This window comes from Homo sapiens, chromosome 11, assembly GCF_000001405.40.
Source record: "Homo sapiens chromosome 11, GRCh38.p14 Primary Assembly".
Classification (NCBI taxonomy): Eukaryota; Metazoa; Chordata; class Mammalia; order Primates; family Hominidae; genus Homo; species Homo sapiens.
This window is the reverse complement of record NC_000011.10, coordinates 30,384,079-30,408,348: the sequence shown is the minus strand read 5'-3', so window position 1 is coordinate 30,408,348 and position 24,270 is coordinate 30,384,079. Positions and strand designations below refer to the sequence as shown.

Below are 24,270 nucleotides of genomic sequence, written 5' to 3'. Positions count from 1 at the left end.
GATGAGCAAAACTCTGTCAGAAAAAAAAGAGAGACTGGCACAAGCCTGGGGATATATCCTATCCCTCAAGTAGCAGCTCGCTGAAACACCCTGCAATGTGGCTCTTTGACAGCCGTACATGGCACCTCATCCTCTCAGCTGAGGCCCAGCACAGCACAGGGGATAAGAGCACTGACCCTTGGGACAGTGTGGCTGCCCACATACTGGCCCCACCTCGGACTAGTGCTGATTTCTTTGCCTGGGTACTCACTTTCTATGTAAAACGGGGGTGATGAGGAGGAGGAAGTTGTTCTAAGTGCCATATGAGTTCATTGTTGGAGATCACTGTCTGACATCTAGTAAGTGGTGCACATGTATTTGTTAAATAAGGTCACCCATGCTTTGTCTTTAGATTCCCCAGGCAGGATTCTGTACCTTTTTAAAAAAATATATTTAATTTTATTTACTTATTTATTTATTTATTTATTTACTTATTTATTTGACAGAGTCTCGCTTTGCCACCCAGTCTGGAGTGCAGCGGTGCAATCCCAGCTCACTGCAACCTCCGCCTTCTGGGCTCAAGCAATTCTCCTGCCTTAGCCTCCTGAGTAGCTGCGACTGCAGGCTCGTGCCACCGCGCCCAGCTAATTTTGTAATTTTTGTAGAGACAGGATTTCCCCATGTTGCCCAGGACAGTCTCCAGCTCCTGAGCTCAGGTGACCCGCCTGCCTCGGCCTCCCAAAGTTCTGGGATTACTGGCCTGAGCCACCGTCCCTGGCCTTCAGTCAGGGTTCTGTCTGTTGACTCTCCAACCTCGAAAGCAGCAGCGGTATTGTTTCTGAGAAAGTTTGTTTGCATTGCTTAGGAACCGTAACAAGCCTCTCTTCATAAGGATAGGAAGAAGCCCAAGGGCATTAGTGGGAGGCGGATAAGGGAGCCTAACTTCCCAGTTTGGCTATCATTCTTTGCAAAATCACTTCTAATCTCCAAAGAGGAGGGGGTTTCTCCTCTTTCAAGTTGCTTAGAAGGGCACCCACAGATCTGCTTATTTCTCACAGCATCTCTCTGCCCTTGCAATCTTTCCTCTCCACCTCACCATCCACTTTTAGTGCAATTAGTGAATTCTTTTCTGTTTTTCACACAATCCCCTTTTGTCTTATGTTGGGAGGTTGCTGAAATCCCTTTAGAAACAGGTCACTGTTATTCTGACAGGTGGCCAGCCTTAAGCCTGCCTTCATCTCCATCATTTAAGTAAATAAATACCGTGACCTAGGTCTTAAGTAGGGAGAAACGGAAGCTGGGAGGATTTGGGATTTGTCAATTGCAGATAAAACACTTGCTGTGTCTCAGAATAATGCCCCATTCCCCACTCTCATCCAGCAAGGATGTGCAGCTTTGGCAGAATCAACATCCAGATATTATTTTGCTTCCTAGTCTCTTTTCATGCTCTATTCCCACTTTCCTGAAAGTTTTAAGATGCTTTCTGTGTAATTATTAAACAAAAGTGAATTAAGATCTACTTTTAAGGATTTGGCCATGAGGTGAGGCATTTGGAAACACTGCTAGGTATGGGGTAGGAACAATTGCTTGTGGGGAAGGTTCCAGGATGGGATGGTCCTAATGTGTGGTTTCACGGAAGGCCCCAGGACCACTTCTGGATGTCAGGTTCTTAGCACAAAACATTTTTGTTGTTGTTTGCTTCTGTGTTTGTTTGTTTGTTTTATTTTGTTTTCTCCTATCTTGCATTCAATAGCAGGATGTGTCGGCCTTCTAGCATGGCTCTTCCAGAAGTTTAGAGCTACTTTTCCCTCCCTTTTCTAAGTGTCCCCTCTACCTTCCTCCTCTTACTTTGCTTTTCCATGGGAGAGAAAAACACTGATTCAGAAAACTCCCTAAGAAGCTCCAATCTTCCCTGGTGCCCCAGTAAAGTCAGCCTCTGGAGATCAGGAGAGGTTCAGAGAGGATCAGTGGTATCACCATGGTCACAGAGCAATTCAAAGATAATGCCCCACTTTGGCATTTGGACATTCCATTTTGAGCATGAACTGATTTTTCAGCTTGACATTCAGAAATAATCAAAGATGGAGAGATCAGTTTTGGCCTGACATAGTGTGATTTTGTAGCACAGGACCAGCTGCCAATCTGTGAAGAGAAAACAAGATTATTTGAAAGAAACCTCAGAATCTGAGGTTTCCCATGAATGTTCCCATGAGGATTCATTTTCCTTTTCTTCAACCCGTCCACCTGCAACAATTCCAATAGGCTTCCAATTCCTCCTTCTACAAGAGAGATGGGTGCTCAGTTTCTACCTTTTCTACCTCAGAACATGATGGCTGTTTGTCATGCGTTTTGACATACATGTGTATGTCAGGTCTGGAAGCTGTTGGGTGTTGGTAAGAGCCCCCAACTTTGGAATCAGACATGCTGGGTAGCCTTGGATGTGCTCTTTTATTTCTCTCAGCCTCAGATTCCACACTTGTAGAAAAGGAATCATTCCCATCTCACAGTGGATTTGTCAGAATTGATACATTAATATCGACAGGACCCTGGGTGGAGGATTTTTATTCTGTCAATTGTAATTTCCTAAAGAGAAAAAAAAGAAAAAAAGGCAGGGGCAGAGGGCAAAAATAAAAATGTATATTATTTTCTGATGGCCACAGCCCGTCACGAGAGAAAGCTAATTCCTTGAACTGGACTGTGTAAGAAACCATACAGAAAATGAGTTCTTTAACTTTCTCTCTCTCTGAACTATCTGACAAAACATTTGTGGTGGGTTTTTGTCGACTCCTCCTCATTTCCTTCCTGAATTAGGGTTGCCTTACAAGACAAAAATCTTGAGGTGAAAAGGCTCTTTCATATCTGACAGCATCTATATCTGGATAATGGTGAGAGAGAGAAATGCATTTCCATTAGGAAGCACAGCCACAGTGGAACTAAAAGCATGGGTAGACTAAACACATGAACACAGAGAGCCTCCTCCCATCAATCAGCTTTGATTTTTATGAAGCCATAGTTACCATGAGGTGCATCTGAACACTCCCAGAGCCTGCTTGCCATGGGGAAAGGGCCTGTGATTTCATAGCCCATTTCTGTCCCAACCTTAGTTGATGACTTTGGGAATAGGTTGAGCTTTTCAGTTGAAGATCCTGAAATCACAAATGACTTGAACCCAAATGCTCCCTGTTTGCATGGGCTCACCACCATGCCTTTTGTATAAATGGGCTATCATGTTTAGGTAGCAACTACATAATCCTAAAAGGAACTCCTATTTTCTGGAAGCCTTTTCTGGATCCCCCAACCTACCTTGACCCAGAACACCCCCCTTTGGTGCTGCCATAGCCTCCCACATATACGTCCAGCTGTGCCACGTTCTGATTGTTGCGTGTCTGCATATGAGCTCCCCAAGGTCAGAGACCATGCCTTCTATCTGCATTCCCAGCATCTAGGTCTGAAGAAACACCTTCTTAATGAATTAATCACTATTTGGCAAATAACAGCTAGGTATGCGAGAAAAATAGGCAAAATCAATCACAGATGAAATCAACAAATATTTACTGAACACCATAAGCCAGGTGCTGTGCTAGTAAGCTTCATTTGTAAGACCCAGTATTTACCATGAAAGAGTCTTTATAACTAGATGAAGAAAACAAGATATTGACACATGAAGGTAAATGGTAATAAAAGATGTAAATAATAGTTAAGACAACAATAAAAGAAAGTTGGGGTCTGGAATACACAGGTTTCTCCAGTTACATGAGTGGCCATAGATATGGGGACGTGCGAGGTGTGGCATAAAACTCAGACAAGCACAGGCAGCTAGCCTAGGAAAGGGAGTCTGCCTGCTAATGGCAGTGTCAATCCCAAGTAGCTTCATTCCTGAAGGAGAAAAACCCACATGGCCAGTGGCAATTCCAAGTGTGTCACGTAGCTGGTTTGTTTTTTAATTTACTCTATGAAATGGTTTTCTCTAATGGCATGCCATTGACGAAATGCACCATAATGTCTCCATCCATCACCTCCAAATGCTTTTGCATGCATCAGTTGTTGACTCGTTTTCTCCCATTCAGCACATAAATGAGAGGAATGATTTATCCAAGGCCACCATTACTCTTATGTGGAATCCAAAATAGCTCTCTGGAGAAATACTGCCCTGAGCACTTATTTCTTTGTGCATCTCTCAACTTGTATTGAAGGGTGACTTTGGTCTGGGCTATAATGGTATCCTCCTGACCAGTGTTTCCTGGGAAGCTAGGCCAGGTCTCCATGGTGGTATATAACTCCTGGATGCAAGACCTTGTATTCTTCTGGGTATGGCTACTAGGGTTGGATGATGAGAAATGAAAACCAGGGCTTTGGCCTTTGGCTATGAGTGGGCATTTGAACAAGCAATGAGATTCCCTCATGAGCTCTCTGGAACTCATAACAGGAAGAGAAAGGGTACTACATATCTGAGTGCATTTTCTTTTCCTTTTCTAATTCATCTCACTTCCTTGAACTCCATCTCCCCATGCTGAAGACATATAGCCCTTTCTTCCTGTGAGTTTTGCATAGTAGTAGATCAGAAATGGAAAATAAATAGGAACATCAAGGTAATTCTTACCAGCTGAAAATTCCTTGAGAGAAGCCGAAGTATGGCATCTTTAGGATCTACTACTGTCTCAAATAACAGAAGGGGCCACTCCACATACCTTTTGTTTCATTAGACGATGGTGATAATGAAGATAAAAGATTTGAAGCATCAAATGGCATAGAGATCCTGGGACATTAAACACAGTATTCCTCTCTGTAGCATTAATAAATTGTGATGAGGTTTGAAATACTATATTTGCCTCCTTAGTTCTTGTTTCAAACAGCTGAAACATGTAACTTGGAAGGTTTCACCTAAGAAAATTTGTTGAAATCAATTCTGTAGGAACAAGAAAAATAACAATACTCATCACACATTGTTTCTGCATTAAAGTATTTTCGGTGAATGTATGTGTGTATCTACCTCAATGATGCTATGTCTAATATATTAATTCTTTCCTGTGACTGGCTATATTTCTGAGTACCAGCGAAATTGAAATAAGGTGTACAAAGGATAACAACTTCCTACATTGTTTTCTTTTCTTTTTTTTTTTTTTGAGACGGAGTCTCGCTCTGTCGCCCAGGCTGGAGTGCAGTGGCGCGATCTCGGCTCACGGCAAGCTCCGCCTCCCGGGTTCACGCCATTCTCCTGCCTCATCCTCGCGAGTAGCTGGGACTACAGCTGCCCGCCACCATGCCCGGCTAATTTTTTTTGTATTTTTAGTAGAGGCAGGGTTTCACCATGTTAGCCAGGATGGTCTCGATCTCCTGACCTTGTGATCTGCCTGCCTCGGCCTCCCGAAGTGCTGGGAATACAGGCATGAGCCACTGCGCCCGGCCTACATTGTTTTCTAATGGGCTGAATAACCAAAATTAAAAATCCAGAGCTAATCGTAAGCTGCAGTGGAAGCAATATGTTGGTTTCACATCTTATGAATGGAATCTGTGTTCTGAGATTCAGAAACTGTGGTAAGTTGGCATTGTACTTCTCACGTTTTTATTTAATAGGTCATTTTCCCAAAGAAGTGAGATATCCATGAGTACAGCATCCAGGAATAACAATAAAATGTGTTTGAGTTCAGAGATTATGCAAAGAAGTTTACTTAATAAAAAGCTAAGATGGGGGTGGGAGAATGGGAATAGGAAGGAGAAAATGGTCCTGACCCAAAACTGAATGAACCTTTAGATTTCCCAGGTCAATATGTATGACTTCTGTACATCTTTTGATCACTATCTTTCTCAAAATTATAAATTAATAGATTTGTCTCTCTGATCTCAGGACAGGTGAGTAGCCTGGTTGTTTTATTAATGTGAGGTCTGCTAGCTTTTATGGGGGACCAGGAGAGCTGGACTTCTCATCACAATCTGTCTGTGATGGGCTTTTCCAACACAATGGCACATAAGAGACTTTTGTGAGGATGTTACTCTCAAAGAAGACTTTTCTCAAGAAATAAATCACGTATCTCCAGCGAAGTGACAATATGCAGGTTATTCTTGCTATACTTGTGGATTCAGCAGTATTCAATTTATTGATATGAATATTTATATCCAGGCCAGTAGCGCTGCAGTTGTTCGTAGTATTTGCAGTGAATAGCTTGGCTGGGATGCTGAGGACATCACCCACTGTTTTTAAAGCTCAGCATTCTCAAAGCTATTTAAAGAACCCCTTCATCACCACCACTTTGGACCAATGTTAAAAGCAATTCAGTAGAGACATTCTCCTTCCATAACCCCCCAAATAATTATTGCTGACCTAGAGGCAATTCTGAAAGGAGGTATACGTTAGCCCTTCTAAAAATCTTATGTAGGCCGGGGGCGGTGGCTCACGTCTGTAATCCCAGCACTTTGGGAGGCCGAGGCAGGCGGATCACGAGGTCAGGAGATCGAGACCATCCTGGCTAACACGGTGAAACCCTGTCTCTACTAAAAGAAAAAAAAAAAAATACAAAAAATTAGCTGGCCATGGTAGCGGGTGCCTGTAGTCCCAGCTACTCAGGAGGCTGAGGCAGGAGAATGGTGTGAACCTGAGAGATGGAGCTTGCAGTGAGCTGAGATTGTGCCACTGCACTCCAGCCTGGGTGCTGGGTGACAGAGCGAGACTCCGTCTCAAACAAACAAAAAAATCTTATGTAGTTCCCTTTCATCAGAAAATTTTGAAAAATTACAATTGACCTTCTTTCAGTTGAATCTATGGATATAGTTCCTTTAGTTTGTAAGAAAATGCTTCTGCTACCCAGAGAAAGGTAAAAATATTCGGTTTTAGCCCTATTCTAGGGATGAGGCTCAGAAGTGTGATGGCACACCCAGTACATATCTTTTCATGTGCTTTTAGTGTCCAGTGACTTGCACTTAAAGGAAGTTAGATTGAGGTCAGCACTGGACATCTGTATCTTCTCAGCCATGCAACAGGTAAATGATATCATAAGGCCCTCCTGTGCTGGGCACTTTACTTAGCATAAGATTCAGTCCAGAGTTAGGCCAAAGAGAGAACCCAACCAAAGCCTTAACTACTAGCCTTAACCACAGCACCAGGGCAAATAAGCCTGTTTCTTTCCAAGTGATGGGAATGAAAATCAGTGGTGCTGTTCTGTTTTCTCCATCTGCTATCCTATAACACACAGTCACAATCTTCTCTACTGATTTTTCGAAAACCAAACTATTTTTATAACACTTTTTGGGGGACATGATATGTATAAACAGGAAAAAGGTATCAGTAAATTCATTTATAATTGTTTAGCCAGGCACAGTAGTTCACACCTGTAATCCCAGCACTGTGGGAAGCTGAGGCAGGAAGATCACTTGAGCTCAGGAATTCTAGACCAGCCTGGGCAACCTGGCAAGACCTTGTCTCTACTAAAAATCAAAAAAATTAGCTGAGGGTCGTGGCATGCACCTGTAGTCCCAGCTACTCAGGAGGCTGAGGCAAGAAGATTGAAGATTGCTTGAGCCTGGTAGGTTGAGGCTGCAGTGAGCCATGATTGTGCCACTGCACTCCTGGCTGGGTGACAGAGCAAGATGCTATATCTAAAAAAAAAAAAAAATGTTTGATGATATGTATTGGAAAAAGAAATGAATGGTAAGTAATTGATCTTGAATGATGTAGTTTGGAGTACATGTCTATAAGCCAGAGAAGTCTGGCTAATGTTAAATTTTGGGAATTAAAGTTTCAGTCCTTTTAAACTTTTCACTCTTTGGATGATGTCTCATGACAGGTTAATGAGTGCATGCTCTAGTCTTCAAAGATTTAGGACATGTCTGGCTAATATTAACACTGACATCTGCAAAGTAATATTGGAATGGACATCCAAATAATAAAGAATGGCTAGGGCCTTGATCATCCTGAAGCTTTGGACACATCCTAGACTTTCCTACAGTTTTAGGGTATTTTCCTTTTCATTCCATTAAGGCACTTAAAATACTCTCCATAGAGCCAGGTGCAGTGGTCCACATTTGTAATCCCAAAGCTTTGGGAGGCAGGAGTGGGAGGATTGCTTGAGGCCAGGAGTTCAAGACCAGCCTGGGCAACATAGCAAAACCCCCATCTCTAAAAAGAAATATTTTTTTATTAGCTGGATGTGGTGACAGGAACCTGTAGTCCTAGCTACTCAGGAGGCTGATTAGGAGGCTGATGCAGGAGCTTGAGGTTACAGTGAATTGATTGTGCCACTCTACTCTAGCCTGGATGACAGAGCAAGATCCTATCTCTAAGAAATTAAAAAGTAATATGCTGTATAACCCTGATCTCTCGACTGCCATAAAATCTTTCTTGCACCTAAAAAAATGTTAAAAATAAATAAATAGACTCTCCACAAATACTTATCTCTAATTACAGTGAAAGATGTTACTACAAGCTTAATACTTTAAATGTTTTAAATACAGTGTTGAGGTTTCAGTCTGTCTTTGCTGTCAGACTGGTATTTTTTTAAAAAGTATATATGGATACAAACATGTTAAAAAGTTTAAATATGTACATATCCTTGTAATATATATATTTTCTCCCAATATGTTTTATCTATTCTGTTTAAACAAAATCTTAAAGGTTAGAGTTTATGACCTTAATTTGGTATCTGCAGTTTATAAACTTTAGCTGGTAATTCAACCTATTTCTATGAATTTATTTACTGAGACTCTACATGAATGAGGTCTTTGCTACAAAGGAAACCTTTCTAATCTTCACCCATTGTCCATTTACACATGAGTAAATATGTTAATCTGTTCATAAAAGGATAAAATAATTCTGAAGATAAATGCAAAATGACTTTTACAAAGACACAAAACAGTACATTACGTTCTACTCTGTGTGATGCCTGCCAACATTCCAGAGGACAGAGTATTGATAAAATACCAATTTAAAGGATTAGAAGAAATGATTTCTCGAATCAAGAATTCCATTTCTCTGTGATGGAAGTCTTAATTCTAGAGGAAAGGAGAAACATATATTTTTTTCTTACCTTTGTAATTTGGCAATTCTTAGGCTAATAAATTAGAGTAAGTGGTTTGTCTGAGACATGGAGAAAATTGGATGCAGCATGAAAAATTAACAACAGTGTTAATGAGAAAATGGTTGACTCATAAGTCCTGTGCTTGAATTTAGTATGCAAGGTGATTAGGTCTTCACAATGTTGTTTATTAAAAAAAAAAGTATTGGATCTTTTTTTAATGTTTCCATATCCTGCCAAGGTCAAAGAGGACAATATCTGTTTTGTCACATTATGTTTTCATGTAATGGTGGTTGGTTTAATGAAATTGTTGTAGAAGAGCTGGCCGCCAGGGTATATCAGACTTGTGTGTGTCACTTTTGGAGCATCTTTCACAAACAATTAGCTCCTTATAAGATGTATGATCGTCCTCACATTCATCACGTATGTCCCATGCCTCTCAAATAAAAAAACATTTATAACCATTATCATCAACCAAAATTAACCTGGGCCCAACTGAAGAGAAGGAAGTCAAGTTTTCAGTTTTTGGTTGGCAAGTTAACTCTTTCAAGTCTGATACATACCATTTCATGCTCCTTACTGGATGGACTTTGGCATATTTGTACTTCCAGAGAGTTTTTTTCTGATATTAAGGAAAGTTTAAAAGCTTTCTCTTGGCTGGGTGATGTTTGATTGCAAGGAACTAAAACTTACTCCAATTTGATCAATAAAAGAGAGGTTTGTTACAGGATACAGACATAATAAATTTCAAGAAACAAGAAGCCCAGAGAGGGAAAGAACCAAGAATCTTCAGGCAACTTAGTAGCCTCATGTAATCTCAGTAGTTGTTCATGGACCTTCTATCTGATTCTTAGTAAAAAATCATCTGACCATCTGATCAGCTTAGTAAAAAAATCATCTGATCAGCTTTCTTCTAGTGAATGAATGGTACCCCCAGGTCATGTGTTCACCCCGATCTAATAAACGGTAACCCCAGTAAGGTGAGATCTAAAGCTACCCCTTTATGGGAATGAGTGGGGTAGGTAGAGTTTGGGTCAGAGTAGTGTGTTAATGAGGACAAGTTTTGAGGGTGAATCTCATAAACATTATTCATTATTCATTATTCTTATCCACAGTCCCAAACAATTTCAGCCCTATCACTTAGTAACTCATTAGCATGACTGTGGAGATTGGCTGAAAGAATATGAGTGAATTGAGGCAAATTTAACTCTGCTATGGAAGAAGAAAAAGCTGTGATAATTCATAGCCCTTGAGGTACTGATAGGAATCATTAGTACCATGTTTATCTGCAAGGATAATGACTTAATACCAAATCTCCATCCCAGTTTCTTTTGTTTCCTACAAATTGGAGAAATGAATTGGTCAAAGTCAAGGAAGGAATTGGTCAAGCTAAGAGATCTTGCAAGATGTTTGGTCTACATTAAAGACCCATAATAGACTGATTTTTAATTACAAGGTTGTCAGTTCACAGGGTACATGGTTGAAAAAATGAACCTCAGATGATGATAATGGTGGTAAACAGCTTTCATTTTTAGTATCATATTTTTAACATGGGATTTGTTAAAACAGCAGGACAAGACTCTACTCCCCACTAGCTAGTGAGGTGTTTATTGATCAAATTACTTAATCTCTTGGAGCCTGTTTCTTCATCATTAAAATGGGAGTGATAAGTGTACTGATCTTACAGGATTGTTGAAAGAAGTCAGTGAGAAAACAAATGTAAATTGCCTAGCATGGTACCTGACACATGTGAGCTACTACTATCAAGCATTTATATAGACCTTTTATGAATGTCAGTGGTTGTTTTATGACTTATCTTCCTTGAATCTCAGAACAATCCGATGAACTTAGAGCAGTCAGTGAAACAGTTAAGTCAATGTTATAGTTTGTATCGCCAAAATTAGATAATTGAGTCCTAATGATTACGAAGTCAACGAATATCAACCAAATTTAACAGCAAAATAAATACATTATTGAATATGTAAGAACTATAGTATGCTTACCACCTGTGTACTCCATATGAAATTTACTAGAGGAGTTGCTCCAGAAAACTTATAACAAGATCCAAAGTGAAAAACAAACTAGCATACAAGAAATAGTGGCTGATAAGTATGACTCAGAAAATGGAAAAGAAGGTAGAAAAGGAAGAGGATCCATTTGAGAAACTTAGAAATTTCTCTTTTAAGGGTTTAACTTCTATACTTCTCTTAATTACATTAGTTTATTTCACAGTAAATAATATTTTCTGAATCACAACCCACAATATTGTTGGTTTTTAATGTTACAATTTACATACAAAGCACTAAAACTGAATTACACTTACAGAACAGAATATAAGCCTTGAAAATGTGACAATAACAATATACCTAACAAAAATTAGGGGTGACATATAGGAATAAAGAAGAGAGATAGAAGATTGAGCATATTAGTGGTCTTGTCTTTCTTTGCAGGGAATCACTAGTTACTACCTAATTTGATATATCCAGAAATTGAGGCATAAACATACCATGTAAATTTTAATTGCTGCTAAAGTAGTTGCCCCAGGATTGGGACAAGAAATGGAAGAATTTTACTTTCCCTTTCTATTTTTCTACACTTTATGAATTCTAGTTTGCATGTGTATGCATTACTATTTTAATTTTTAAAAATAAACTGAAAAAAGAGCATTCAAACTCATGGTTCAAATGGAGATAATTCTATTCAGGCACCTAAATTGAAATTATGGGAAAAAAAGAGTGGAAGCTGATCAGATGTAGGAAGGTGTGACTATGAGCTTGCAAGTAAACCTGGGTTTTCCTTAATTAAATTTGGTTTCCTTCTCTTTCTCCTTGTTTCATTGAGCTGAAATATGGAATTAGAAGGCACATATTCCAGACCAGTTCTGCAACACAAACTACCAACAACTTTCAAGACTTAAATGTACAGCAACCATAAAATGTATAGTTATGTCTAAGCATAAGAAATAAGCAGTCTAGAGGGTAAGAAATTTAAGAAAAACTGCAGGTATATACAGGCAGCTGCTAAAGGCTGGAGTGGGAATATATTTAGCAGTGGATATTTGCTGCCATTGAATGCTTAAATCAGTGCAGGTGGGGCATTCAAAAGGCTTCTGAGGGGTCAAGTTGCTCCAGATATTTTGCAAGGTTATATTGTCCATGAATGAATGATTTTGCTTTATGTCCCTGCACAGGGGAGTCAGAGGACAGTGTTCCTTTCTTAGTCCCCAAGGATTCTCATCTGTTGTGAATAGCAAAAGCCCAAGGTAGGAGGATGGATCAGAGATCTGAAATCCAGAGCCTTGCTGGAATGCGTTGTCCTTAAAAGCAAGCATCTCAGTATGATAAATACGATCTCCTCAAGCCCGTTAGGGAATGGAAATTTAAGAACCGGTTAGGTCAAAGATCAGGAAATTTATGACGATTATCTGCGGTTACAGTGTAGAGTGTTTGAGGATGGTTTAAGCCAAAGAGTCCAGTGCCTGTAAATCTTGAGAGTGATATTAATACCTCCGTGAACATGTGTGTACAACGTTTCTGAAAAGATTGATTGCAAAGGCCAGTTCCCAGGAAAGACAAGCAGGTAATTGGCATTTAATTAATGAGAATAAGTTATATTAAATTAAAGACTTATAATCCTTGATTATTTATCTTCCTGTAGCCAGTGTGACAATCTACTCTTAGATTATTAACTCACCACTGTATTTTTAAGAGGCCAAACTAAGCCGTCTGTTCAGACTGTATAAATAGGAATATGTTTGCATCTCAACCATGGGAACAATATCCTTTGGGAACTCATGAGAGGCTTCTTTCTAATATAAATGATTTTTGAAAAATTGAATCCATGCAGAGCATCCAAGGTATTCTTAGGTCTACTCCATATCCCCAGAATCCAGAAGAGTTGACATGAACCATTGTGTAGTAGGAAGGTTATGAACTTGAGGGTCAGCCTGACCTGACCTAGGATTGAGTCCTAACTCTGGCTTATATTAACTAAGTAGGCTTGGGTATGTTATTAAAATTATCTGGGGTTCAGTTATCTTATCTTCAAAAATGGGAAAATAGTACTGACCTGGAATATACTATTTTAAAAACTAAATGATACTGTAAATCCCCATGGTCCATTAGCTATCACATAGTACTCAATAAAAGCCCATTTTTCTCTTCACATTCTCCTTCTCCTTTTGTAGCACAGGATGATAGTGGTTAGAAAATGATTCAGAAACAAAGTTGGAGGCTTCATGCTACTTGAACAATTATGATAAATACACATTAATCAAGATACTATGGTACTGGTGAAGGGATAAACACATACTGCAGTGGAGTAGAATAGAAATTCCAGAAATAAAGCCACACAAGTATGACGAATTGGTTTTTGAAAAAGGTGCAAAGACAATTCAAAGAAGAAAGTCCAGTCTTTTAAAGAAATGGTGTTGAACAATTTAACTTCACATGCAGAAAAAAGTAAGTTGTCTCAAAAGGGATTATCTAAATGTAAAGCATAAATCTAGAAAACAGGAGAAAATATTCATAACTTGGAATGAGGTAGAGTTCTTACATATGACACCAATAATACAATACCTGATAGAAAAAAATTTGTAAGTTGAACTTCATTGAAATTTAAAACTTGCTCTGTGAAGTATGCTATTTAAAAAATAAAAATACAAATTACAGAGTGGGAGAAAATATTTTCACATCACATATCAAACAAAGATCTTGTAGCTAGAATATATAAAGAAGTCTTAAAATTCAACCAAATTAAAAATGGGTAAAAAGTTGAATAAACACATAACCAAAGAGGATCTGTGGATGGCAAATAAGCATAAGAAAAGATTTCCGACCTTATTAGCTACTAAGAAAATGCAAATTAAAACCACAATGAGATAACATTACATCCCTATTAAAATGGCCATTTAAAAAAAAGCCTGATAATATCAAGTGCTGACAAGGATGCAGAGCAACTGGAATCCCCATGCATTACTTATAGAAATGAAAAATGGTAGAGCCTCCTGGAACACAGCTTAGCAGTTTCTCATGAATTTAAAGATACATTTACAGATGATCTAGCAATCTCACTTCTGAATATTTACCCTAGAGAGATGATGACTCATGTTCACTCAAAAACCTGCATACAAATGCTTATAGTATCTCTACTTATAATCACCAAAAACTGAAACAATCCAAATATCCTTCAGCAGGTAAAGGGATAAACAAACAGTTGCACATCCATAAAGTGGAATACTACTTGGTAATAAAAAGGAACAAACTATTGGTACACACAACAGCCTGGATGAATCGCAAAGACATTATGCTGAGTGAAAGAAGACAGTCTCAAAAGATATATTCCACTTGTATGATATTCTGAAGAAAACAAAACTATACTGATCAGTGGTTGCCAGGGGTTAGGATGGGGGCAAAGCATGACTACAAAAGAGCAGCACAGGGGAGTTTTTGGGGCTGACAAAATTGTTTTGTATCCCGATTGTGGTAGTGGCTACACAAATCTATACTGTGTTAAAACTCAGAACTGCACACCAAAAACAAGTCAGATTAACTGTACATTAACTTTAAAAACAGGATAAAATTAAACATATTTTGAAAAATGATCCCAGCAAGAAGCCATTCTAACTTATGATAAACAAGGCATAACACCCCAGAACTCTGGGAGTCCTTAAATATAATTTGTTTATTATTTATTGGGCAAATGTTTATTGAGCACTACCTATGTGTTCACATTGTTTTAGGCACAGAGGATGAAGTTCTAAACATAACAAAAACTCCTGGGAGGTTATATTATAATAAATAGTAACTATATACTATGTCAGATGGTATACATACTCAGGTAAGCAGGATAGGAAATTGCAGGAGGTTGTGCCAAACCATCCCTGGACAGAGCTGATTTGGTTTGAGATAAAGGGAAGGGAATTTTCTATGGAAAATCTCTTACCCAAGGCCAAGATGGAACTCTGGTCTGAAAATCCTTTGAGTTGGAGGCATGCTTTAGGCCTGGATGATAAAGCCAAAGTCATCTAAAGACCACAGAGACTGTCCAGGATGTAGTGAGAGCAGAGATAGGGTTGTCTATTAGAGACTGTATCCAGGATGTAGTGAGAGCAGAGATAGGGTTGTCTATTAGGAAGGACACAGAGGGTGGGACACTGGCTGTGGGCTTCCAGTGATGTCCTGAGTACCCAGCAGGTGTGGTGGAGAGGCAAGACTCTGACCCACATGACTCATAGTTAATTTGAGAAAGAGAAACAACTGTCGATGAGAGGTGATCTCCAGATTGGGCACAAATTGAAGGTTCCCAAATACAAGGAGTGAATGTTCAGGGAAGTAGTGGCTGGGAAGAACCCTAGGATGGAAAGAGGCCAGCAAGAGGAACAGAGGGAAGACTTGAACCAAGCTGACAAAATGCCAGGACCCAAGCATAGAAGGCAAGATACCGGATAAAGTGTTTGGAAAGAAGCTAGTGGACACACTTTGCCTTAAACCCTGAGCACATTTTAAAATAGGCACTTCTTCCTCAGATATTGCTGCTTCCTTCCTCCTGGTTCAGTGACTGCTCCTTGAGTCTATCTTGGAGGTGAGCAAACCTTAAGTGGGGAGCATGAACACTCTCTCCCATCTGTCTATCCATTACTATCTCATGCTCCTGAGCTCCAGCTCAGGGAAATCCAAGGGAACCCGTCCCCTTTAAGAACCAGTGGCTTGCAGGGACTGGCTTTCTGCCAGGGTAGAAAAGTAGAGCAGGAGACATTTAAAGCCCTGTTTGAAAACTGTCATTTTTCCAACGACCTCAGATGGGGTGATTAATCAAGAAGCAATTCCGGAGAGAAGCCATCTTCTTTACCTGCTTAAATCTCCCAGGTTAAGTTGTATTTTAAGCCCTGGCTTATTTTCAGACAAGTTTGTTGCTGTTGCCTAACCCTATGTTAAAGTAATTATTGTCTGCGAAGGTCACACAGAGTTCAGTGGAACTGAAAAACTCACAGCCTTTAGTATTAATGGGGTAAGCAGCCTGTTCAGGGCCTTTTCCTTAAAGAGACAGACCGGTGAGAACAGTCAATAAGGACAAAAAAGCATTTGACATTTCAAGAGAGAGAAGGCTTATTCTTTTTGTGGCTTCTGGCAAAGACCCCAAAATCAAACAAAGAAACCATTAGAGGGGAGTCAATCGCTATCTTCTACATGCCAGTGTTCAAAAATGTTGTTGAATTTGTTATTTGAACTCAAGTGGGAAGTTAGAAATTCAAAGTGGAAGGAAGAGAAATAGTATAGTTTGAACACCTACCATACACCAGGTGCTTTACATAATTACCTTAATTCTCACAACTACTTCTTTGAAGTAGTTATATGTACTACTATTATATGTACCATTGCAGATGAGGAAACTGAGGCTTAGAGAGGTAATTTGCTCTGGATTACACACTTAGTAACTGGCAGAGCCAGGATTAGCATCCAGGTTGGTGTGACTAGAAAATGCAGACCCTTTTCATGTGACTTCCTGAATCACATTAATTTAAAGCCTAATGTTGGGGCTTTAGATGTGAAGGTAACTGGGGAGGTTGAATTTTTCCATTTTTAAATTGATATTTGATTCTATAAATATATATTATGAAATTCATTTCAAACAACACTTTTCAGTTTGGCTTCTATGTTGATTGGAAAATAATGAGAACTAATAGTTAAGACTTAATAAATGCCAGACATTGAAGCAAAATGACATGATCTTATTGAATCCACACATGTACACATATGATTAAACATTTAGAAACATACACAATCATTCCATTTTACAGAGAAGGAAATTGAGGCTTAGAGAATTCTTGTTCATATATCACAGGCAATATGTGGTAGAGCCAGGATGCGAACCCAAGCAATTTTATGTGAGAGCCCACTATCCCACCAACTGTTTCATTCAGAGACCATGGCTTCTACTGCCTGCCCCACCAACTGATAACGTTAGGTACCTGGCCCAGATTTCCTCAATGAGGAACCTGAGGGCTGGTCTACAATCACGTCCAAAGTACAGAGTGTATGAGCAGTGCAAGACAAAGACTGAAATGACCACACCAAAGAGCAATTAGCCTTTGTCTTTTAGGCCATTCAGCAAAAAAGCTGCTGAGCTTCCCTCCAGAGGGAAGCCACTTTATAAAGGGAGTTGGGGCCCAAAGCCACTGGGCCTGCAGTTCAGAATCAATTCCCTAGCTTCTTTGAAGCCCCTAGACAGTTCCATCTCTTCACTTCTGGGATCTGCAATCTATCTGTGGCCTGGTTGTGGTACGTTGTTTAATGGCTGCAAATTTTTTCCATTCCAGGATCCAGGCCCCTGTGCACTATAATTTTGCCACTCTCCTGTCAGGGACTAGAGTCTATTTCTCCACACCTTTGAATCTGGGCTGGTGGTGTGACTTGCTTTGATCAGTTCACTTCCATCGTCTTTGAATGCTGCCCTGAGACCACCATACAAAGAAACTGGTCTCATTGACTAGAAGATAAGAGGCCCCATGGAAGGAAGGGAGGTGCCTTAGCCAACAGGTAGCACCACTGCCAAACATGTGAGAGGGGCAGCCATCTCAACCTTTGGGCCCAGCTAACCTTATAGCTGAATGCAGCTGCCAGGCAAAACTGGCACAGCAACCTTGGAGCCAAACCAAAGGATCCTAAAAGATATAACAATAAGTTGTTGTTTTAAGCCACTAGGTTTTGGGGTACTTTGTTACACAGCAAAGGCTAACCGAAACAGTCTTTCTTTGAAGTTCAGAGCAGCATAAGGGTGCACTCTTGGTTGACATATTTCAGCGCCTGCCACAGGGCAATCAATGGCAGTGATATATTCTCCAGACTCCGGCCTCCATTACCATAAACTCCTCCAGGGACCAAAGGATGGTTTCAGGGCTTTTTTATACTTTGGCCAACATAAGTGGATACCCAGACTATTAGGCTGTCAACATTTGAGGCCTAGAAAAAGTACTGTAACTTTTCCTTAAAGAGACAGACCAGTGAGAACAGTCAATAAGGACAAAAACACATTTGACATTTCAAGAGAGTGGAGGCTTACTATTTTTGTGGCTTCTGGCAAAGACCCCAAAATCAGACAAAGAAACTGTTAGAGGGGAGTCAATCACTATCTTCTACATGCCAGTGCTCAAAAAGTGTTGTTGAATTTGTTATTTGAACTCAAGTGGGAAGTTAGAAGTTCATATTTCTGGCATATTTTAAAAGAAGCTGAGAATCAAAATTAGTAAATATCTAGTTGAATATCTGTGAAATGTAAGAAATGCTAGTTAGATGCCTGCATTTCGACACTTACATACTAAATATATTTAATGTGGACTGTTATTCTTGAATAGATGATATAAGAGGCTTTTTTCCTAAAAGGCAGGTGATCTGGGGCCCATGAAGATATTGAGTAGCTGTGGGTATTTTGTGTGTTGATGGACTTGGGAACTCTGTGTATTTGACCATTAACTTGTACTCTGATGCCCCAAATTATTGCTGTGTTATGTTATCTGGTCTTTAGGGAGAACATTAGCTGTGAGGTTCCAAAAACTAAGGGCTCCCTATCTACCTGAGTCAGTTTCTGAAAAGGCTAACACCTGCCTCAGCCTCTCAGAGACTCCTTGATCCAGAGTCAAGGCAACCAAATTGGGCAGAGTGACAATAGAAAAGTAACAACATATTTTCTAGAGAAGCAGAAGATTGTGGTGGCACAGTGTATGATAGGATATGTAAATGAAGCCATTCAGGATTATTAAATTTGTCATTGGTTAACTGAGAATTATTTTAAACCTAAATCCTACCTGAGGAAAGGAAGCAGGGAGTCCCTGAATTTCTGCCCTTCAGAATCATAACCACCAGCATACATTTTATGAATACATAGAAGCAAAAGCTGGCATAGCAGCTTAGCAGGAGGACCACAAAGAATTCCTATTTCATATTAACCCTCAGTGAATAGACAATCCCCAGGGCATCATTTTCAAATATAAGGGTTGGCCACTTTTGCCTGAGTGGAGTTCTTAGTTTGGTTCTGCGGGTGACCACACACACTATGTTCCACCTCATATCCTATCTCTTGTAGTTGGGAATGTACCCAACCTCAGTCAAGGCTCCCGAATTCAGTCTAAGCTGTCAAAAGGCTCTGCTGGAGGAAGAGGTCAGCTTCATCGCTAGAGGCCACTAAACTCATTAATCACTTTTGCAAGGCAACTGCTTGGTGGAGGGGCCTTGTTAAAAGCCAAGATTGCTCTGAACTTAATCTAACACAGTTGGTCCTCTAGAGAGGTGCTGAGGGGTTGTTTATGAGAATGGGAAGGTAATCAAGACACCATCAGAGAGAAAACTGAATAATTTAGGTCATGTTCATCTCTCTCTCTCTCTCCCTCTCTCTTTCTCTCTCTCCCCTTTAGTAAACCCTGTGAGCATCTCCAAGGCACTGAGGACAAAAATATGTTCTCTGCCTTCAAAAACTTCCTAGTCTAGAGGAAACTGGCATAGACACAATTAATTGATGATCTGATGAATTAGCATTGTGTGAGCTACAATCCTGGCATGAATCAAGAACTAGAGAGGCACACAGGAAGGAAGGAAGATGCCTCTCCTTGGTGAAGACAAAGAAGGCATGAGGAGGAGGCGACAGGGAAGCTCACCTGGTGGACAACAGGAAAGACTGCGGAGGAGGGCTCTGCTGGAAGAGGAAACAGACTGGGGAGGTGGGGCCAGTGCATAAAGGGCCACTGCAGGAAGGGGTTGTAGGAGAAAAGGAAAGACAGATCAGTCACTGATGACCCCCTCCACCCCAGGTCTGCAGACAGAGCTGATTCCTTCTCTAAGCCTCGGCATCCCCTACCAACAGTCCCTCCTGCTCCTTCTCTCCCAAGTCCTCTAAACAGCTTCATGCCCAAACCACAAAGAGAACATTCTCAGGCCTAAGGCAGGCCTTCCCAGCACAGAATGTTTGGAGCCCTCTGTGGGAGAGCGGCTGGCCCCCTTAACTGTCCCCCTTCCCTCCGGGAGCCAAGGCAGGCACTGTGCACCTGCCCCTGAATTGTGTGCGGCAGTTGCCGGCCTGGAGCTGAGTGACACAGCAGGTGCCTCCAGCCTGAAGACAATTCCATATTTCAATGGAGCGTCGCCACCAAAGCTTATTATCTAGGGCAATAAAGTTTAGGATTAGGGGGATTCAGGATGATTGTGTGATTCTCCACAAAGCTTATCTTCTAATAGACCAGCTGCTTTATTAGGCCGCCCCCACCCGCACCAGGCCCTTCCCAAAGCATCCCAAGTCCCAGGCAGCCGACGGGGGCCTTGAAGGCGGCAGTGGTAGACAGCTGGGGGTATCATATCACCCTCAGTCTCCATCTGCGATTATTAAATTACGGGCGGCTTCCAGCTGGGCACACCCCAGCTCCCACCTTCCTCCTACAAAGCCAGCATCATCGTCAGGCATCTGCCAAGGACACGATGTGGCTGCCTCTCCCCTGCTGATCCCTACTGTTGAACTCTAAAAGGGCCAGGTCTGGGTATTTACTTGCTATTAGGGCTGTCACTGTCACAGTGTGGAATGCAGTGGAGTGGAGGCCTGGAGAGAGGGGGGGACCATGGAAATTTCTGTTGCAAATGGGGCTTTGCTGGGACTGTTCACTATAAACAAAAAAAGAAGATGGAATCATGCACCACAGAACCTCAAAGAAGCTGGCATGCTTACCAAGCTCCCACATATTTCTCCCAAAATGAAATTCATTAACGTTGAGTGTTCTAGGGACCACCTCCACATGCTCCCTGATCCCATTGCTCCGTTCCTTTTCTGATGGGAGCAGAGCATGGGATGGTGTCTCTCCAACCCCGTGTGGTCAGCAGCACTGAGGCTACTCTCGTTTCCTATCCCTCCCTGACAGTCTCCTTTATCCTCAGCCCCTGACAGACTATCTGTTCAGAGTAGGAATTTATCAATAAGTACTGATAAGCATGCTGAAAGGAATATGGGGGACTGGGAATATGCCTGAAACATAATGAATGTTTCAAAGAAATGAAACGTTCTGAAAATGGAATTTTCAAAGATTCTGACAAGCACACAGCATCTGCTTGCAGATTTTAGGAAAACTTAGTCATAGAATTATTCAGAGTTCACATTTCAGCCATGGGGATGTTGTGTGCCTGTTGACAGCAGAGGTCCCTGTAGACGTTTGTTTTTTACTGTGTCTATGTGTGATTCACTAATGAGAGAGTGGCTTAGATGCTCAGAGTAATTAATTGTAGTATTGAGATAATAGTGGCTTTGAAATCCAGCTGTGCTTATATGCGTGCACGCTGTGCAGTTAGATGCTCCCAGGTTCAGATCTGCTTCCATCACTACTAACTATGTGGCCTTGTTTTCTGATCTGCAAGCCATGGATTGTATTGCTTACTTTGCGGGACTGTGGTAAACGTTAGGCATATATGAGGCAAGTGCAATGCCCAACATTTGGCAGATGCTTAATAAGTGTTGGCTATTATTATTACTACTACTACTACTATTGCTTTTGCTATTGCTATTATGTGTGACCTGTATAATAATCCTACTAATATGAGTGAAGGCAAGAATCATGGACTATGCACCCAGCATAATCAGGAGGGTTTGACTGTTGTGAATGAATTCAAGGGCAGGACAAGCAGCGACAAGAGTTACTGAAGTTCATCTGATTTGAGTTCTGTTCATTCATTTATTTGGGATCCAAATTCTGAACCCCAGCTCTGTGCTAGACACTGTTCTAGGTGCTGGGAAAACAGTCATGTGTTAGTCTGTTTTTGCTGCCATAAAGGAATCCCTGAGACTGGGTATTTTATAAAGAAAAGAGGTTTATTTAAATCACAGTTCTGCAAGCCTAACACCTGGTGGAAGCTGCCAAGGCTTACAGCTTATACCCTCTCAAGCAGCACCCTAATCTATACCTTGAGCCAAGACTGGAATTGGAGCTGCCATGATGCAGGAAGCAGTGTCCCAAGGATGTGCAGAGCAGTGGGGTCCTGAATGTGGCCCCCCAAACCATTCTTTTCTCCTAGGCCTCTAGGCCTGTGATGGGGGGGTGGCCTTGAAAATCTCTGAAATGCCTTCAAGGCCTTTTTCCCATTGTCTTGGTTATTAGCACTTGGCTCCCCTTTAGCCATGCTAATCTGTCTAGCAAGTGGTTGCTCCACAGCCTGCTCATATTTCACTCCTGAAAATGTTCTTTCCTTCTCCACCACACAACCAGTTTGTGAATTTTCCAAACTTTTATGCTCTGCTTCCCTTTTAATTATCAATTTCCCAGCCTCAGATATTCCTTTATAGTAATGCAAATGGACTAACAGAAGCAATGAATAAGAAGGGGTCCTGGCCCCTCTACAACTCATCTTCTATTGAGAAAGAAAGAAGAAAAAATGAAAATAAGTTAAAAAAACTCAAATTTTGATAAACCCTATGAAGAAAATAAGAAATGGGATAGAAGTTAGCTGGCATGGCAGGGTGGAGTGGGTGAGTGACATTAAGGAGGGTGACAACAGAGAAACTTTCTGATAAAAAACCCAGTAAGTAAAGGTCTAAGTGATGTGGATGAGGCAGCCACTTGAAGACCTGGGACAAAAGTGTTCAGGCAGAGAATATAGCAGGTACAGAGCTTTTTGTATAAGAAGGTAGCAAAAAGGCCAGTATAGCCAGAGAACAGAGGAGGTAAGGAGAAAGATAGGGGATGAGGCAGGTGCTAACTCATCAACATCCTTGCAGGCCTTGATGAGAGTTAAGATTTCATTATAATTGCAATAAGAAGACAGTGGAAGGTTTTTTGGCGGGGGTGGGGGTGGTCAATGACATGATTGGATTGATATGTTGGAAAAGCCCATCTGGCGACTGTGTTCAGTAACAGTGTGCTTGCATGAAGATCCCTCACAGCAGCAGACAACACAAATGCCCCCTCCCACCCATCATGAAAATTTGGAAAGCCAAGCCAATAGGAAACTGAAGCTACAAAGACCCAGCCCCTAGAAAGCAATATAAACAAGACCAGAAAAAGCATGTGTTCAGGACAAGTTCACATTGAAGTAAAACCATATTGACATTGATTGCATTCCCTACCTGCTTAGGGGTTTTGCTTCACCTAAACTAGTACCTTGAGAATCTGTAAAAGCTTACAATTTGAGAAAAGCAAGAGATGACACCTGATTATCCTTTGAATTGGCTTCCATGTCTGTGGCTGTTTTCCCTAAGTTCCTGTCCCTTACACACACGTTACAAAACTTTGTCTCAATTCTTTGCTTTTAAAGGATTTGACTTTAACAAATTCACATTGGGTACTTGCTTAGTAGGAAAGGAAATAATGACTCTCACCCCCTATGTTATAAAACTTTTAGGAGTATTACACACAGGCACATACAGGGCACACTGGTATGGCTTGTCATTTTGTGACAAATTCTTGTCAGTTTGTGGTCTGGTGGAAAGCATATGGAATTAGCAATCAAGAAAGGTGAGATTTAGTTCTGGCTCTGCTTCTAACTAGCAATGCAATCTTGGACAAGAGATTTATTCTTTCAAGTCTCAGTTTCATCTTGTCATATGGACATAGAGTGATACTTCCTTTTAAAAGAACCTGGGTATCCTGGCCAGGCGCGGTGGCTCATGCCTCCCAGCACTTTGGGAGGCCGAGGCGGGTGGATCACAAGGTCAGGAGATCGAGACCATCCTGGCCAACATGGTGAAACCCCGTCTCTACTAAAAATACAAAAATTAGTTGGGCGTGGTAGTCCCAGCTACTCGGGAGACTGAGGCAGGAGAATTTCTTGAACCCTGGAGGCGGAGGTAGCAGTGAGCCCCGAGGTCGTGCCACTGAACTCCAGCCTGGCAACAGAGCGAGACTCTGTCTAAAAAAAAAAAAAAAAAAGAAAAAAGAAAAAAGAACTTGGGTATCCTAAACATGGTTGAGAATCAAATGCAATTAAAAAAAATCCTCCTCAAAGACCAAACTAGGTATTATTCAATCCACATTTTAAAATTTCCTAACAGTACTAATAGGAATGGTCCTCTCTCCATACCTGCTTTGTCATACTTTATACATGTTGCTAACAAACTTGGTTATTGATTCCTGAACTCAATACATAACATTACAGAGTAGAAGCAGATTCAAAGTGAGAAAGATTCTTGTGCACTAACATCAAGGAAATAAGATTACATGTCTCTGTGTATTGGGAGTGTCTTTGTTTTTTGTAATCAGCATGATATCTAGCATGTAATAGGCACTCAATGTAGATGTTTGCTGAAATAAAATTGATGCTATCAA

At 40.8% G+C, this 24,270-nt stretch overlaps 1 protein-coding gene across 2 annotated transcripts in view, besides 1 other annotated feature; it reads left to right on the top strand.

Annotated features, from left to right (window-relative positions):
* The window catches only part of MPPED2 (metallophosphoesterase domain containing 2), a 202,912-nt gene extending 178,642 nt beyond the window's left edge, over positions 1-24,270 (top strand). Inside the window, exon 7 of one of the 2 annotated variants that reach the window (NM_001377956.1) lies at positions 19,393-24,270. In NM_001377956.1, the coding sequence (NP_001364885.1) occupies positions 19,393-19,460 (68 nt within the window). In that variant the 3' untranslated portion in view covers positions 19,461-24,270. The remainder of the gene's footprint in view (positions 1-19,392) is intronic. The other variant, NM_001145399.3, reaches the window with a different exon arrangement.
* Positions 654-1,204: an enhancer, noted in NCBI's record as "NANOG-H3K4me1 hESC enhancer chr11:30428692-30429242 (GRCh37/hg19 assembly coordinates)". NCBI's record gives its function as "activates a minimal SCP1, AML or CMV promoter by ChIP-STARR-seq in primed H9 embryonic stem cells {active_cell/tissue: H9 hESC(primed)}" and the evidence as "EXISTENCE:reporter gene assay evidence [ECO:0000049][PMID:30033119]".